The sequence below is a fragment of the Homo sapiens genome, chromosome 19, assembly GCF_000001405.40.
Source record: "Homo sapiens chromosome 19, GRCh38.p14 Primary Assembly".
NCBI lineage: Eukaryota > Metazoa > Chordata > Mammalia > Primates > Hominidae > Homo > Homo sapiens.
Window position 1 is genome coordinate 42295832 of NC_000019.10, and position 15771 is coordinate 42311602.

At 53.3% G+C, this 15771-nt stretch overlaps 2 protein-coding genes across 13 annotated transcripts, besides 5 other annotated features; one reads left to right on the forward strand and one right to left on the reverse strand.

The window, feature by feature from the left end:
- PAFAH1B3 (platelet activating factor acetylhydrolase 1b catalytic subunit 3) lies at positions 1202 to 6969 on the reverse strand. Of its 6 annotated transcripts, none has more exons than XM_017026848.1 (6): positions 6868 to 6969; positions 6401 to 6494; positions 6119 to 6208; positions 4340 to 4456; positions 4178 to 4261; positions 1202 to 1534 (listed from the first exon to the last, which is right to left on the reverse strand). In XM_017026848.1, exons 2-6 carry the CDS (start codon positions 6476 to 6478, stop codon positions 1247 to 1249), a joined length of 657 nt encoding a protein of 218 aa, XP_016882337.1. In that variant the 5' UTR covers positions 6479 to 6494; positions 6868 to 6969; the 3' UTR covers positions 1202 to 1246. The 6 variants fall into 6 exon arrangements, with proteins under 6 accessions (XP_016882337.1, NP_001139412.1, XP_016882336.1 ...); NM_001145940.1 differs by having other exon boundaries at positions 4139 to 4261; XM_017026847.2 differs by lacking the exon at positions 6868 to 6969 and adding an exon at positions 6606 to 6793.
- Positions 6268 to 6317: an enhancer, noted in NCBI's record as "active region_14713". NCBI's record gives its function as "activates an Ori minimal core promoter by ATAC-STARR-seq in GM12878 lymphoblastoid cells {active_cell/tissue: GM12878}" and the evidence as "EXISTENCE:reporter gene assay evidence [ECO:0000049][PMID:35858748]".
- On the forward strand, positions 6301 to 14983 carry PRR19 (proline rich 19). 7 transcript variants are annotated; one of them, XM_011526789.3, is made up of 4 exons: positions 11194 to 11242; positions 12902 to 12928; positions 13748 to 14354; positions 14440 to 14983. In XM_011526789.3, exons 3-4 carry the CDS (start codon positions 13754 to 13756, stop codon positions 14907 to 14909), a joined length of 1071 nt encoding a protein of 356 aa, XP_011525091.1. In that variant the 5' UTR covers positions 11194 to 11242; positions 12902 to 12928; positions 13748 to 13753; the 3' UTR covers positions 14910 to 14983. The 7 variants fall into 7 exon arrangements, with proteins under 7 accessions (NP_954979.2, XP_006723217.1, XP_005258836.2 ...); NM_199285.3 differs by lacking the exons at positions 11194 to 11242; positions 12902 to 12928 and adding an exon at positions 6301 to 6672; XM_006723154.4 differs by lacking the exons at positions 11194 to 11242; positions 12902 to 12928 and adding an exon at positions 7293 to 7547.
- Positions 6398 to 6527: an enhancer, noted in NCBI's record as "active region_14714". NCBI's record gives its function as "activates an Ori minimal core promoter by ATAC-STARR-seq in GM12878 lymphoblastoid cells {active_cell/tissue: GM12878}" and the evidence as "EXISTENCE:reporter gene assay evidence [ECO:0000049][PMID:35858748]".
- Positions 6398 to 7134: a biological region, named in NCBI's record as "H3K27ac-H3K4me1 hESC enhancer GRCh37_chr19:42806463-42807117".
- Positions 6480 to 7134: an enhancer, noted in NCBI's record as "H3K27ac-H3K4me1 hESC enhancer chr19:42806463-42807117 (GRCh37/hg19 assembly coordinates)". NCBI's record gives its function as "activates a minimal SCP1, AML or CMV promoter by ChIP-STARR-seq in naive H9 embryonic stem cells {active_cell/tissue: H9 hESC(naive)}" and the evidence as "EXISTENCE:reporter gene assay evidence [ECO:0000049][PMID:30033119]".
- Positions 6688 to 6907: a silencer, noted in NCBI's record as "silent region_10706". NCBI's record gives its function as "represses an Ori minimal core promoter by ATAC-STARR-seq in GM12878 lymphoblastoid cells {active_cell/tissue: GM12878}" and the evidence as "EXISTENCE:reporter gene assay evidence [ECO:0000049][PMID:35858748]".
- Positions 14984 to 15771: the final 788 nt, after the last annotated feature.

The window sequence follows — 15771 nt, forward strand, 5'->3', positions numbered from 1 at the left end:
TTGGTTGTACCAGTCCTGTCCTGAGTTGTCATGGAGCGGTAGGCTTTCCATGAGGTGGGGGCAACAATTCCAGTACCACTGCCCCCAACTTCAGAGGAACCCCATAGGCCAGGTCCCTGACTTGCTGTGGACCAGATGGCCCCTCTCCAGTTTAGGAGCCTGTGCGCTCCGGGAGCCTCAATGCCTGCTGGCCCTGTTCTCAGCCATTGGACTGCGTGAGTTTGGGGAAGGCCTGAGGCAAGATGCCACTGGATGGTTTACCCTCACTGGCTCTGGGGTCATTCGTACTCAGGAAACAGGTCCCAAGAGGTCCTAGCCCAGAGGTGGCAGTGGGTGGGAGGGAGCCTAGTCTACCTGGAATACCCTTGGTCCTCAGTGTGACCCCTGCTGCCCCCATGTGGCCTGGGCCTGCACTGCAACTGGGCTTGAAGGAACCTCCCCTGGGTGACACCCCTCCTGCTCAGCATGTGGACACAGTGCCCACCTGAGGTGACAAGATACCTACACCCTGTGTGGAGGGATGACAACTAGGAGTGGGAGGGTCAGGACACCTCCACAGAAGTGGCATCTAAGCTAGAGATGGAGCACCAGGAAGTTCCAGCCAGGGCAACCGCATATGCACTGGGTCACTATGTTCCCAGAATTCTTGCCTGAGCTTGGTCCTGTAGGATAGTGCTGGAAAGCTGGTCTTAACTAGTGTTTACTGATTGGTAACGCCTGCCTGAAGCACACTATTGTGATAGTGGAAATTAACCTAACCACAAGAATCACAGTGCCTTAATGGATCAGTGATACCTGCCCTGGGCAGAAATAGAACCACAGCCAGGCATGGTGGCTCATGTCTGTAATGCCAGCACCCTGGGAGGCCGAGGCAGGTGGATTGCTTGAGCTCAGGAGTCAGATCAGCCTGGGCAACATGGCAAAACCACTTCTCTACAAAAAATACAATAAGCTGGACCTAGTGGCACATGCTTATAGTAGCAGCTATTCAGGAGGCTGAGGTGGGTGGATCACTTGAGCCTGGGAGGTTGAAGTTGCAGTGGGCTGTGGTCTCACCACTGTACTCTAGCCTGGGTGACGGAGAGAGACCCTGTCTCACACAAAAAACACCTTGCAGAACTGCAGGGTCACAGATCAGGATAAGGACTAATGGTGGTACCCAGATACCCAGACAGGTTCGACCATAAAGCAGGAAACAGCACACTGAGGAAGGAGAGTTTAATGTTGTGGGAAGGCAGCAGGATGCTTAGGGTGCGGGCTCCAGCAGGGGAGCACCTTGGCCCTGGTCTTGGGCCAGCAGACGCAGAAGCAGGGAGTGCAGAGCCCGGCAAACAGGTGTGTAGCCCAGGCGGCTCAGATGCAGGTAATCATACATGTCATGATGGCTGATGGTGCCATCTGAGTGCACAAAGCCAGGGTCGGCATCTAGGAAGTGGGCCCGAGGGTGGCCAGCCAGTGCCGCCCGTACCAGCTCGTTCACCTGTCGGTTCTTCTCCCGAAGTGGGTTGGGATGTTGGCCTCGCGGAAGCAGGCCCTGAGCAGGAACACGAGGCGTAGTAAGGAAACAAGCATTTGAGTATCTTGTTCTCTGTGCCAACCTGTCCTCCACCCACCACCATGAAGTTTCCAGCTGCAGAAAACACTAGGGATGGGCAAGTGGGGAGGGTGGGAGGGTAGTTCCTAAATATCACATCCTAGCCCTCATTTAGCAAGAGACTTCTGGGTTTTACCCTCTTTCGTTTTCTTTTTTTTTTTTTTTTGAGACAGAGTCTTGCTCTGTCGCCCAGACTGGAGTGCAGTGGCGCGATCTCGACTCACTGCAAGCTCCGCCTCCCAGGTTCACGCCATTCTCCTGCCTCAGCCTCCCAAGTAGCTGGGACTACGGGCACCCACCATCATGCCCGGCTAATTTTTTGTATTTTTATTAGAGACGGGGTTTCACCGTGTTAGCCAGGATGGTCTCGATCTCCTGACTTCATGATCCGCCCGCCTCGGCCTCCCAAAGTGCTGGGATTACAGGCGTGAGCCACCATGCGCGGCCTAGCCTCTTTCCAAGTATCACTTAGAAAAATGTTGACATTGGCTAGGTTCAGTGGCTCACGCCTGTAATCCCAGCATGATGGGAGGCAGAGCTGGATAGGTCGCTTGAGCCCAGGAGTTCGAGACCAACCTGGGCAACATGGTGAAACCCCATCTCTAACAAAAATACACAAAAATTAGTGGGACATGATGGCGTGTGCCTGTAGTCCCAGCTACTCGGGAGGCTGACGTGGGAGAATCACTTGAGCCCTGGAAGCAGAAGTTGCAGTGAGCTGAGATCATGCCACCGCACTCCAGCCTGGGCAACAGAGCCAGATCCTGTCTCAAAAAATAAATAGGCCAAGGGAGGTTGCTCACGCCTGTAATCCCAGCACTTTGGGAGGCTGAGACGGGTGGATCACTTGAGGTCAGGAGTTTGAGGCCAGCCCGGCCAACATGGTGAAATGCCATCTCTACTAAAAATACAAAAATTAGCCAGGTGTGGTGGCACGCGCCTGCAGTCTCAGCTACTGTGAAGGCTGAGGCAGGAGAATCACTTGAACCCAGGAGGAGGAGGTTGCAGTGAGGCCAGATTGCGTCACTGCACTCTGGCCTGGCAACAGAGCAAGACTCTGTCCCAAAATAAATAAATAAATAAAAGATATCAACATCATGGCTCATGCCAAGGGATCAATCCGTTTTCAGAAGAGGAAATATCCTAGCTACCTACAAGTGATGGAGCCTAGATTTACCCCAGGAATGCCTGACAACTTTTGGCCTATTCAAGGTTTTTTGAGGGTTTTTCTTTTGTTTTCTGGTGAGACAGGGTCTCTGTCACCCGGGCGAGAGTGCAGTAGCATGATCACAGCTCACTGTTACCTTGAATTCCTGGGCTCAAGTGATCCTTCTCCTTTAGCCTCCCAAGTAGCTGGGGTTACAGGTTTTGCGCACCATCATACCCAGCTAATTCTTTTTTTTTTTGAGATGGAGTCTTGCTCTGTTGCCCAGGCTGGAGTGCAGTGGCACAATCTCGGCTCACTGCAAGCTCCGCCCCCCGGGTTCATGCCATTCTCCTGCCTCAGCCTCCCAAGTAGCTGGGACTACAGACGCCTGCCACCACGCCCGGCTAATTTTTTGTATTTTTAGTAGAAACGGGGTTTCACCTTGTTAGCCAGGATGGTCTCGATCTCCTGACTTTGTGATCCACCCTCTTCAGCCTCCCAAAGTGCTGGGATTACAAGTTTACAGGCGTGAGCCACCGCACCCGGCTTTTTTTTTTTTTTGAGACAGAGTTTCGCTCCTGTTGCCCAGGCTGGAGTGCAATGGTGCAATCTTGGCTCACCCCAACCTCCACCTCCTGGGTTCAAGCGATTCTCCTGCCTTAGCCTCCCAAGTAGCTGGGATTATAGGCATGTGCCACCACGCCCAGCTAATTTTGTATTTTTAGTAGAGATGGAGTTTCTCCACGTGTGGTCAGGCTGGTCTTGAACTCCCGACCTCAGGTGATCTGCTTGCCTCGGCCTCCCAAAGTGCTGGGATTACAGGCATGAGCCACTGCGCCCAGCCCATGCCCAACTAATTTTTTTTTTTTTGAGACGGAGTCTCGCTCTGTCGCCCAGGCTGGAGTGCAGTGGCACAGTATCAGCTTACTGCAAGCTCCGCCTCCCAGGTTCATGCCATTCTCCTGCCTCAGCCTGCCAAGTTAGCTGGGACTACAGGTGCCCGCCACCACGCCCGGCTAATTTTTTTTTGTATTTTTAGTAGAAATGGGGTTTCACCGTGTTAGCCAGGATGGTCTTGATCTCCTGACCTCGTGATCCACCTGCCTCGGTCTCCCAAAGTGCTGGGATTACAGGCGTGAGCCACCGTGCCTGGCCCGTTTTTTAGTTTTTCAATACCCCCAAAGTCTTAAGCCATCCCTGGGCAAAAAAGGCTAATTGGTCTCGGAGCATATTCTCAACCACAGCCACTCTGAAGGGTATAGCAAGCTCCAACGTGAGATTCTGCCTAAAAGCCACTGCTCTATGTCAAGCTGCCTAGAACTGTGCCAACTGTGGCTATATCTGAGGGGGTCCCAGACCACTGCCATTCTTCCTTTCCCACTCTCCCAGCCTCTCACCAGCACCACAACCCGGGCCTGGGGCTGTCGCTCATTCACCAGTTGCACAATGGCCTTGATGCCACCAGTCACCTGCTCTGCTGTGTGTCCGTGGTTGTTGGTGCCCACCCAGACCACCACAATCTGTGGAAAAAGAGACATGAAGCAGCGGTGAGGGGGCAGCCAAAAGATGTTTTAGAGCCCCACCCAAGCCCCGCTCACCTTGGGCCGGATGTGTTCCAGCTCCCCATTCTCCAGCCGCCACAGTACATGCTGTGTGCCGTCACCACCAATGCCAAAGTTAAGTGCATGCAGAGGAGAGAAGAGCTCGCGCCAGATCTGTGGGCAAGAAGTGGTGTGGGCAAGAAGTGGTAGGGGCACAAGGGCACTGTCCGCATGGACCATCCCCCTCTGTCCAGGTGTTAACCAAATGCCATTATGGAAGAACCTTACTTCATGGAAGCAGTCTTAAAATTTTACCTGGAGCAAACTCCAGCATGGCTGAACCTCACTTTATAGAAATCTATTAGAGTCTCTCACTTATTTTATTTTATTTTATATTTTTGAGACAGAGTTATTTTATTTTTGAGACAGAGTCTCACTCTGTCACCCAGGCTGGAGTGCACTGGCACTATCTCGGCTCACTGCAACCTCCGCCTCCCTAGTTCAAGTGATTCTCATGTCTCAGCCTCCTGAGTAGCTGGGACTACAGGTGTACGCCACCACGTCCAGCTAATTTTTTGTATTTTTAGTAGAGATGGGGTTTCACCATGTGGGCCAGACTGGTCTCGAACTCCTGACCTCAGGTGATCCACCTGCCTCGGCCTCCCAAAGTGGTGGGATTACAGGCGTGAGCCCATGGTGCCCAGCCTATTTATTTTTTGAGACGGAGTTTTGCTCTTGTTGCCCAGGCTGGAGTGCAGTAGTGCGATCTCGGCTCATTGCAATCTCTGCTTCCCAGGTTCTGGCGATTCTCCTGCCTCAGCCTGCCAAGTAGCTGGGACTATAGGCATGTGCCACCATGCCCAGCTAATTTTTGTATTTTTAGTAGAGACAGGATTTCGCCATGTTGGCCAGGGTGGTCTCGAACTCCTGGCCTCAGGTCATCCGCCTGCCTTGGCCTCCCAAAGTGCTGGGATTACAGGCGTAAGCCACCACACCCTGCCTAGAGTCTCTCACTTTAAACCAAGCCCCAGGCTCTGTTGCTCATGCTGAGGTGGGCGGACTGCTTGAGCCCAGGAGTTCAAGACCAACCTGCGCAACAGGGCAAAACCCCATCTCTACAAAAATTACAAAAATTAGCCAGGTGCATGGTGATGTGCACCTGTAGTCCCAGCTACTCGGAGACTAAGGTGGGAGGATCACTTGAGCCCAGGAGGCAGAGGTTGCAGTGAACAGAGATCATACCACTGCACGCCAGCCTGGGTGACAGAGCAAGACCCTGTCTCAAAAACCAACCAACCAACCAACCAACCAACAAAACAAACCAAGCCCCATAGAAGCAAGACTCACTTCATGAAAATCCAGTCTGCTTGAGCCATGCATTGAATCAATGGCATTACAGTTGAAACTTATTTTGATGAAACCCATTACAGTTGGACATGCTTTGTGGAAAGATATTATTATGATTGAGTCCTCTTTGTGGAGTGCCATTAGAGTTGCCCTTCGCTTCCTGTAAAGTGACTATAGCTTTGTGTAAACCCAACAGGGCTGCGCACTACTTAAAGCAAACAAGAAAGAGCCTCACTTTAGGCAAGCCTATGGCAGGAAAGCCTCATTTTAGGTCTTAGTACATTATACACAAATCCAATCTGATAAAACCAAGGCATACATTTCTTTCTCAATAGAATGTTGCACCTTACACCAAGATTCTCAGAGCCTCGGGCTGCCTGAGGCCAATCTGGGTACTCTCATAATACCTCACCTGGCCTGGGTTCTGGTCCAGATGTGTCAGCATGGACACAGGGCTGGATGGGGCAGGGGGAGAGGGACTGCCCTCACCTCGCACTGGTGCATGAGCTGGACCAAGGAGTCCCCGATGAAGACGACTTCGGGTTCCTTATCTTTGCTGTCAGCCACGAACCGATGGTGCTGCGGGAGCGCGCGAGAGGGAGTCAATGGCATGCACGCTCCAGGGCCCGCCCCGCCCTGCTCCCTTAGGCAGCGCCTCCTCAACTGCCCTCAGTTTCCCAATCAGGTAGTGAGAGTGGCACGAACCAGCCGTTCTCCTGAGCCACCCCCCGCGCCCCCGGACTCCTCAATATCCCAGGTGGGAACGCTCACCAGGGACATCCAGCGCCCGTCGCCCTGTACGTCCTGCACCGGCGTGGGCTTGCTGGCTGGGTTCTCCTCTCCACTCATCTTGGCGCCGCAGCTCCTGCAGGATGAGCGAGTCGGGTCGGCCCGGGAGTGTTCCGAACGGAGCTGGCTCCGCCACGCCCACTCCTACCCCTCGCGGCAACAAAGGACCGTCCCAACGCTAGCACACCCGCGGAGGACGAAGGCCGATACAGGGCGCCGCCTCCTCTCCAGGGACGGAAGCCTTCACTTAGGAGGTAGGTGGAATCAGGAACCTTCGCTTCCCCCACGACGGCCGCACAGTGGGCTCGCCCGGCGCTTCCCGCTCGGGCCGCTGACTCCCAGGCCGCGCACCCGGCACGGGGTGGGGGGAGGGAGAGGCGAGACCATCCAGCTCCCGAGGCGGGGAGGAGGGAGAAACCACCCACCGGTCACGGGGAGGGGCGAACTACCTGAAGAGTCGAGAGTGGGCGGGGAAAATCTAGCCCTCTGTCTAGCAAATGGGAAGAAACCATTTGCTGTACAGAGTGAAATGTGCGGAAGGGACCACCTACTGTTGCGGGGGGGGGGGTGACCCATTCACGTGGTGGGGGGAGGGGAGCGAGTGGACGAGTCCATTCTTATATTCCCTTGAAGGGGTGGCTCGAATGCACCTGGCTGGGGGGGACGCTCCTATTTTCTACTGATGTGGGGGACAGAAAAGGAAGATGACAAAATGTGAAAATTCGAGGCTCCCTTCTAAGGAGCCACTCTAAGGCCGCGCCAGGGCTTTAGTGAGCCTATCTACTCGTGGGCTTCCCCTACTCAAAACACCGTGGGTGTGTGTGTGTGTGTGTGTGTGTGTGTGTGTGTGTGTGTGTTGAAATCTAAAGTACATATCTTTGCATTCAAGACATCACAGGACCCCTACTCAAAACACCGTGTGTGTGTGCGCGCGCGTGGCATAACATATAAACTACATATCTTTGCATTCAAGACACCATAGGACCTGCTTGGAGGGTAGAAGAAGGTGCAGAAAGAGAAAGGAAATTAGAGACGCCTCCAGGGCTCAGGTCCAGTCTGGCGTCCCTCCGGCAGATCATCTTGCAGATCTGCAGCCTCTACACTCTCTCTAAACCCACAGGCCAACTGGGTATGTCTGAGCTCTGAAACCTACATCCATAGCCAAGGCCACCTAGGGTCGCGCCTCTCCCCCAACGCTGCCCCAAATTAATCTCAGACCTCAGTGTCTTCTCAGATCTCCCTCTTCTCTGGGACCAGGTGGGGGGCTCACTCCCTGCTAAACGTCCTGGTCATGTTCTTGTAGCCTCACTCCAGGTGGGACCTTCCCATGTATTCATTCCTTCGAGGTGGATTGATACTGAGACAGAGATGAGTGTTATTCATTGTGTTTATGTTTTCAATCCACTTTCCTGGAACTGGGCCGGGCACACAGTGGTTATTCCACAAGTGCTTGCTGAATGAGTAGTAAATGAGTGGGTCAGCTCCTGACCTTGTCCCAATGTGTTTAGGGAGACAGATCCAGACACAGAGGTGTAGGGGTGTCAAAGTTGTGTTTGAGGGAGAGACAGGGACCTCTGGGGAGGAAGAGGAGAAGGACTCTGAGGACTATGGGTTTCCTAGGAGTAGTATCTCAGCTGGGTCTGAAAGATAATGAAGAATGGGCAAGCAGAAAGAAAAGACACAGGTAATCACTTTCTTATTAGGTTTGGGGAATATCGTGGAATAGCTTGATTTTAAAGTCTGAGGGAGGCCAGCATGGAGGCTCATGCCTGTAATCCCAGCACTTTGGGAGGCTGACATGGTCGGATCACTTGAGGTCAACCAGCCTGGCCAACATGGCGAAACCACGTGTCTACTAAATATACAAAAAAAAAAAAAAAATTAGCTAGGCATGGCAGCACACGCCCGTAGTCCCAGCTACTTGGGAAGGCTGAGGCAGGACAATTGCTTGAGTCTGGGAGGCAGAGGTTGCAGTGAGCTGAGATCGCGCCACTGCAGCCCAGCCTGGGCAACAGTGGCCCAGCTTGGGTGACACAGCGAGACTCTGTCTTAATTACAAAAATAAACAAACAAATAAAGTCTGAGGGAGCCAGGTGCAGTGATGCATGCCTGTAGTCCCAGCTACTGGGGAGGCTGAGGTGCGAGGATCGCTTGAACCCAGAAGTTTGAGACCAGCCTGGGTAACACAGTGAGACCCTGTCTAAAAAAAAAAAAAAAAAAAGGCTGGGCGCGGTGGCTCACGCCTGTAATCCCAGCACTTTGGGAGGCCGAGGTGGGCAGATCACGAGGTCAGGATCGAGACCATCCTGGCTAACACGGTGAAACCCCGTCTCTACTAAAAATACAAAAAATTAGCGGGGCGTGGTGGCAGGCGCCTGTTGTCCCAGCTACTTGGGAGGCTGAGGCAGGAGAATAGCGTGAACCTGGGAGGCAGAGCTTGCAGTGAGCCGAGATGGCACCAGTGCACTTCAGCCTGGGAGACAGAGCGAGACGCCGTCTCAAAAAAAAAAAAAAAAAAAAAAAGGGCAAGTGCCTGTAGTCCCAGTTAGTTGGGAGGCTGAGGCAGGAGGATAGCTTGAGCCTGGGAGATGAGGTGGCAGTGGCCCATGATGGTGTCACTGCACTCCAGGTTGGGTGACAGAGTGAGTCCCTGTCTCCAAAAAAGAAGTCATAATCAGCTAGGCACGGTGGCTCACTCCTATAATCCCAGCACTTTGGGAGGCTGAGGTGGGCAGATCACTTGGCGTCAGGAGTTCAAGACCAGTCTGACCAACATAGCAAAACCCCATCTCTATTAAAAAATACAAAGATTAGCTGGGCAAGGTGGTCTGCGCCTGTAGTCCCAGCTACCTGGGAGGCTGAGGCAGGAGAATCGCTTGAACCCGGGAGGTGGAGGTTGCAGTGAGTTCAGACTGTGCCACTGCACTCCAGCCTCAGTGACAGATTTAAATTCCATCTCAAAAAGAAAAGGAAAGAAAAGAAAAGAAAAGAAAAAAGTCTTAATTATGCCTTCAAGTCAGTGATATAAGAGAGAATTTTTTTTTTTTTTGATAGAGTCTCGCTCTGTCGCCTAGGCTGGACTGCAATGGCGCGATCTCGGCTCACTGCAACCTCTGCCTCCCAGGTTCAAGCGATTCTCCTGCCTCAGCCTCCTGAGTAGCTGGGACTACAGGCGTGTGCCACCACGCCCGGCTAATTTTTTGTATTTTTAATAGAGAAGAGGTTTCACTGTGTTAGCCAGGATGGTCTCGATCTCCTGACCTCGTGATCTACCTGCCTTGGCCTCCCAAAGTGCTGGGATTACAGGCGTGAGCCACCATACCCAACCGAGAAAAAAATTTTTAAAAATAAAGTCTTAGAGGATAAGTTGGAGCAGTTCCTGAAGCAAAGCTTAGTGAGAAACAAAGCTTCCAGGCATTCTTCATTCACCAGGCCCATTTCAAGTTAGACATATTGGTCTAGTTTATCCTTCTAGCAACCAAATGAGGAAGGTAGTTTTATTACCAACCCAATTTTACAGGTCAGAAAACTAAGTCTGACCAGTTACAAACATTTCCAAGGTCACACAGCCCAGTTGTGCCATTTTGGGCATTTAAACCAAGCCTAGCTATGAATCACAACACTACACTAACTTTTTTTTGAGATGGAGTCTTTCTCTGTCACCCAGGCTGGAATGCAGTGGTGTGATCTCGGCTCACTGCATCCTCCACTTCCCAGGTTCAAGCAATTCTCCTGCCCCAGCCTGCTGAGTCGCTGAATATACAGTCGTGAGCCAATGCATGTGGCCTAATTTTTGTTCTTTTACAGGGTCTTGCCGTCTCCCTCAGGCGGGCGTGATCATGGCTCACTGCTGCCTCCACCTCCTAGGCTTAAGTGATCCTCCTGCATCAGCCTCCCAAGTAGCTGGGCCCACAGGCAAGAGCCACTGCGCCCAGCTTATTTATTTATTTAGAGACGGAGTCTCGCTCTGTCGCCCAGGCTGAAATGCATCTCGGCTCACTGCAAGCTCCGCCTCCCGGGTTCACGCCATTCTCCTGCCTCAGCCTCCCGAGTAGTTAGGACTACAGGCGCCCGCCACCACGCCCGGCTAATTTTTTGTATTTTTAGTAGAGACGGGGTTTCACCGTGTTAGCCAGGATGGTCTTGATCTCCTGACCTCGTGATCCGCCCACCTCGGCCTCCCAAAGTGCTGGGATTACAGGCGTGAGCCACCACGCCCAAAGCTAATTTATTTTTTGTAGTCAGGGTCTCCCTATGTTGTCCAGGGTGGTCTTGAACTCTTGGGCTCAAGCCAGCCTCCTGCCTCTGCCTCCCAAAGTGCTGGGATTACAGACGTGAGCCACCACGCCCGGCCAACTGTATAAGTTTTCTAGGGATTATGTCTGTGGCTGCTTGGGGGACAGCTGTGCATGGGGGCTACCATGACCCTTCTTCCCTTTGGCACGCCTGGTCTCAACTAGCCCTCGAAAGACCGCTGATAGCTATCTGAACCAATCAGCATTCAGGAAGGGGGCGGACCTAGTGAACCTCACAGCCAATTGAGGGCTGGGAGGTGCTGAGACCAAGAAAGGGAGATTTCTGAAATTGAGGCTGGGAGGGGAGGGGCTATAACCGGCGCTTCCCTGGCACGCGCCGCTAGGTTTCCGTCCTCTCAGAGCCACGAAGCCAAAGGGCATGGAAAGGGCACGCGCATGCGTGTGGGGGAGCCCGAGGCCCGGAACAGCGCCAGGTGACTTCGAGAGCTGGGGTCACCGCGGAAAAGAAGCCATTGCGCCCCACAGCTACGTGAAGTGGGAAGGGCCGGGGTTCGTTGGGGCGAGAGAGGTGCCCTTCCCACACCCTGCTCCTGCCAACCGTACCCCACTCCCTTCACTCTGCCCACCCTGCCCTACCGCGGCTGGCCACCATGCTTCCTCTCCTACCCTAGGCCCTTCCTTTGTGATCAGGCCCTGTCCCTGATCGCGCCTCTGTCTCCCTTCCTGTTCTCTTGAGGTTTTCTCAGGCTTTCCAGACTTCTCTTGCTGCTCTCCCTCTCCTGCTTCTCTTTCTCTACTATCTCTTTCCACTTTCTGCATTCCCCTGTACCTCGTCTACCCCTGGATTTCTCCGTCCAGAATCACTTTCTGGTCCCCCAAATCCCTCCAATCTCATGACCCCTTCACCACCCTCCATCTTTTGTTGTTGTTGTTGTTGTTGTTGTTGTTGAGACAGAGTCTCGTTGTGTCCCCCAGGCTGGAGTGCAGTGGCGCGATCTCGGCTCACTGCAACCTCCGCCTCCCGATTTCAAGCGATTCTCCTGCCTCAGCCTCTTTGAGTAGGTGAGATTACAGTCATTCACCACCACGCCGGCTAATTTTTGTATTTTTAGTAGAGGCGAGGTTTCACATGTTGCCCAGGCTGGTCTCGAACTCCTGACCTCAAATGATCTACCCACCTCGGCCTCCCAAAGTGCTGGGACTACAGGCGTGAGCCACTGCGCCTGGCCCCCACCCTCCATCTTTTTTTTTTTTTTTTTTTTTTTTTTTTGAGATGGAGTCTCGCTCGGTCATCCAGGCTGGAGTGCAGTGGCGCGATCTCGGCCCACTGCAAGCTCCGCCTCCTGGGTTCACGCCATTCTCCTGCCTCAGCCTCCCGAGTAGCTGGGACTACAGGCGCCCGCCACCGCGCCCGGCTAATTTTTGGTATTTTTAGTAGAGATGGGGTTTCACCGTGTTAGCCAGGATGGTCTCCATCTCCTGACCTGGTGATCCGCCCGCCTCGGCCTCCCAAAGTGCTGGGATTACAGGTGTGAGTCACCGCGCCCGGCTCACCCTCCATCTTTTAACTGTTTCCCCATGTCCCTGTTCCTAATAGCCTCTCTCTGTTTCCTGGCTTATCTTCCCATTAGCTGTGACTCCTTCGACTTCATCTTACCCCTGTGATTCCTTATCTGACCAAACCTTTTCCAATCTCTCTCTGCTCACTTATTTTCTCTCATCTTCTCTCTCTCTTTTAAGAGACAAGGTCTCACTCTCTTGCCCAGGCTGGGGCACAGTGATGCAATCATAGCTCAGAGTAACCTCCAACTCCTGGGCTCAAGTGATCCTCCTACCTCAGCTTCCCTAGCAGCTGGGACTACAGGTGTGGGCCACCGAATCCAGCTTTTTTTTTTTTTTTTTTTTTTTTTTGAGATAGAGTCTCACTCTGTCACTCAGGTTGAAGCGCAGTGGCGCAATCTCGGCTTACTGCAACCTCCGTCTCCTGGGTTCAAGCGATTCTCCTGCCTCAGCCTCCAGAGTAGCTGGGATTACAGGCGCGCACCATCACATACAGCTAATTTTTGTATTTTTAGTAGAGACAGGATTTCGGCATGTTGGCCAGGCTGGTCTCGAACTCCTGGCCTCAAGTGATCTGCTCGCCTTGGCCTCCCAAAGTGCTGGGATTACAGGCATGAGTCACCACACCTGGCATCATCCAGCTAATTTTTATTTTTATTTTTTGTAGAGATGAGGGTCTCACTTTGCTGCTCAGGTTGGTCTTGAATTCCTAGCCTCAAGCGATACTCCCGCCTCAGCCTCCCAAAGTGCTAGGATTACAGATTTGAGCCACCATGCCTGGCCTCATCTGGTCATTCTAAATAGTATTCCCACCACACCCCAAAACATCTCCCTATTCACTTGTTTTGTTTTGTTTTGTTTTTGAGATGGAGTCTCACTCTATTGCCCAGACTGAAGTGCAGTGGCACAATCGTGACTCACTGCAACTTCTGCCTTCTGGGTTCAAGCAATTCTCCTGCCTCAGCCTCCTGAGTAGCTGGGATTACAGGCGTGCACCACCATGCCCAGCTAATTTTTTTTTTTTTTGAGATGGAGTCTTGCTCTGTTGCCCAGGCTGGAGTGCAATGGCATGATCTCAGCTCACCGCAACCTCCACCTCCTGGGTTCAAGTGATTCTCCTGCCTCAGCCTCTTGAGTAGCTGGAATTACAGGTGCATGCCACCACGTCTGGCTAATTTTTGTATTTTTAGTAGAGATGGGGTTTCACTATGTTGGCCAGGCTGGTCTCGAACTCCTGACCTCAGGTAATCTGCCTGCCTTGGCCTCCCAAAGTACTAGGATTATAGGTATGGGCCACTGCGGCTGGCCAATTTTTGTATTTTCAGTAAAGACAGCATTTTGCCATGTTGGCTAGGCTGGTCTAAAGTGACCTGGCCTAAGTGATCGGCCTGCCTTGGCCTACCCCAGTGTTGGTATTACAGGCATAAGCCACCGCGCCCAGCCCTCCCTATTCACTTTGCTACTCCCCTTGACTTATCTGCATGCTGATGGCCACCCTATCTTTATATTCCAGGACACCATGGATACCCAGGGACCAGTCTCCCAGCCTTTTCAGCAGCCTGAGAAACCTGGTCGTGTCCGTCGTCGGAAGACTAGGCGGGAACGTAACAAGGCCCTGGTGGGCAGCCGCCGGCCATTAGCCCACCACGATCCTCCTGTGGCCATTCGGGATCCACCTGTGGTCCCTACTGCCTCCAAGCTCGTGGTCATAACCCAGGGCCGGCTGAGCCGGGAGCACCGGGGTCTCTTCAACCACGAGGTGAAATCCCTAGATGTTGCAAGGCTGCTTAGCAGTGGGACCCTGGTGCCAGGCAGCCCCACACTCCCCGCCAAGCCCTCCCCAAGCCCAGGCAGGGCCCAGGAACCAGCCCCACGGTCCAGGGACAAAGAGAACCAGGTGCCTGGAGGTTCGGGCCCAGGCCCACCCAGTTCCCCAGAGTTGTCTGGCGTGGGGCAGCTGCTGGCAGAGCTGCAGTGTCAGCTGAGTTTGCCACAGGCCTTCCCCCGGAGGAACCTGATTCAGGATGCCAGGGATGCCATCGTGCACACCTTGCAGGCCTGTCATGGTTGTGTGCCTGACCTTGCCCTGGTGCTTCGGGGCTGCCAGCCACCCTTGCCAGGTGAGCGTCCCTCCTGCCCCTGTACTCCCCTTTCCTTTGTCGGCTCTAGCTCAGCTAGCCTCTATGCTTCTTTCCTCTGTGCCAGGGGCCAAGCCTGGGGTCTCTGAGAGAAAGATGACACCCTTCTGGATTAATAGCCCTGATCAAGTCCCAGAGCAGGAGAGGCAAAGGAAGCAACAAGGGACAAAGGAGTTCACCTTCCCCATGCCCTACACCTCCAGCATGCCCACTGCGCACAGGGGGAGTCTGGCACCGCCAAGAGGTCCCTGGCCACCATACTTTCCCTCACTGTCTTCGCCATCTGGAACAGCCTGGGGTCCCCCAACAGCGTTTGACTTGTTAAAAAGCATCTGGCTGGTAGCCACGCCACCCCCTCCTCGGCCCTGGGGGGTTGGCCTCCCTCAGCCCCTGCCTCAGCCTTCATCACCCCTGTTGCCCCGAACCTCTGTCCTGGACTGGAGCCCCAGCCCCCCTTCCCCACTGCCCAGCCTCTCCTGGGTAGTAGCCCAGAGCAGTCCGGAAGCCTGGTCTTTTCCACCCATGAGACTGTACTGAGGAGAGGCTGAGGCTAGGGCTGGGGACAGATATCTTGTACTCCCAGTGACCTCAATAAAGTACTTTTCATGGTCCTCTTGATTTTCAGTGAGTTGCTGACTCAGAAGAGCAGCTTTTCTTAGCTCTGAGTTCTAGGTCCAAGATGGAGGGGAAGGTACTGTTGCTTGTTACCTTCATAGGGCCTGAGGAGCCAGCATGGTGGGGAAAATTGGGACTTCAATTAGTCCAACACATATGCCCACTGTGGCTAACTGTGTACCTGACCCTGAGCTCTGGTGATGCTGGGGCTCCAGAGTGAGTGAGACAAAGGCCTTGTCCTCATGAGGCTCCCAGTTTGGTGGTCGGCACACACAACCCCAGCTCCAGTGATTGTGTCTAGGAGAGCAAGAGAGGTGCAGGGGCTGGGGCAGTCCAAGGAGGGAGTGATGGCTGCCCTAGTGAGGAGGGAATTCTTCGTAGAAGAGCTGTGTTTTTCTTTCTTTCTTTCTCTCTTTCTTTCTTTCTTTTCTTTCTTTCTTTTTCCTTCCTTCCTTCCTTCCTTCCTTCCTTTCTTTCCTTCTTTCTTTCTTTCTTTCTTTTTTGGAGACAGAGTCTTGTTTTCTTGCCCAGGCTAGAGTGCAATGGCACAATCTTGGCTCACTGCAACCTCCGCCACCCAGGTTCAAGCGATTCTCCTGCCTCAGCCTCCCGAGGAGCTGAGATTACAGGTGTGCGCCACCATACATGGCTAATTTTTGTATTTTAAGCAGAGATGGGGTTTCGCCATGTTGGCCAGGCTGGTCTCGAACTCCTGGTCTCAAGTGATCCTCCTACCTTGGCCTCCCAAAGAGCTGCAATTACAGGCATGAGCCACCGTGCCCTG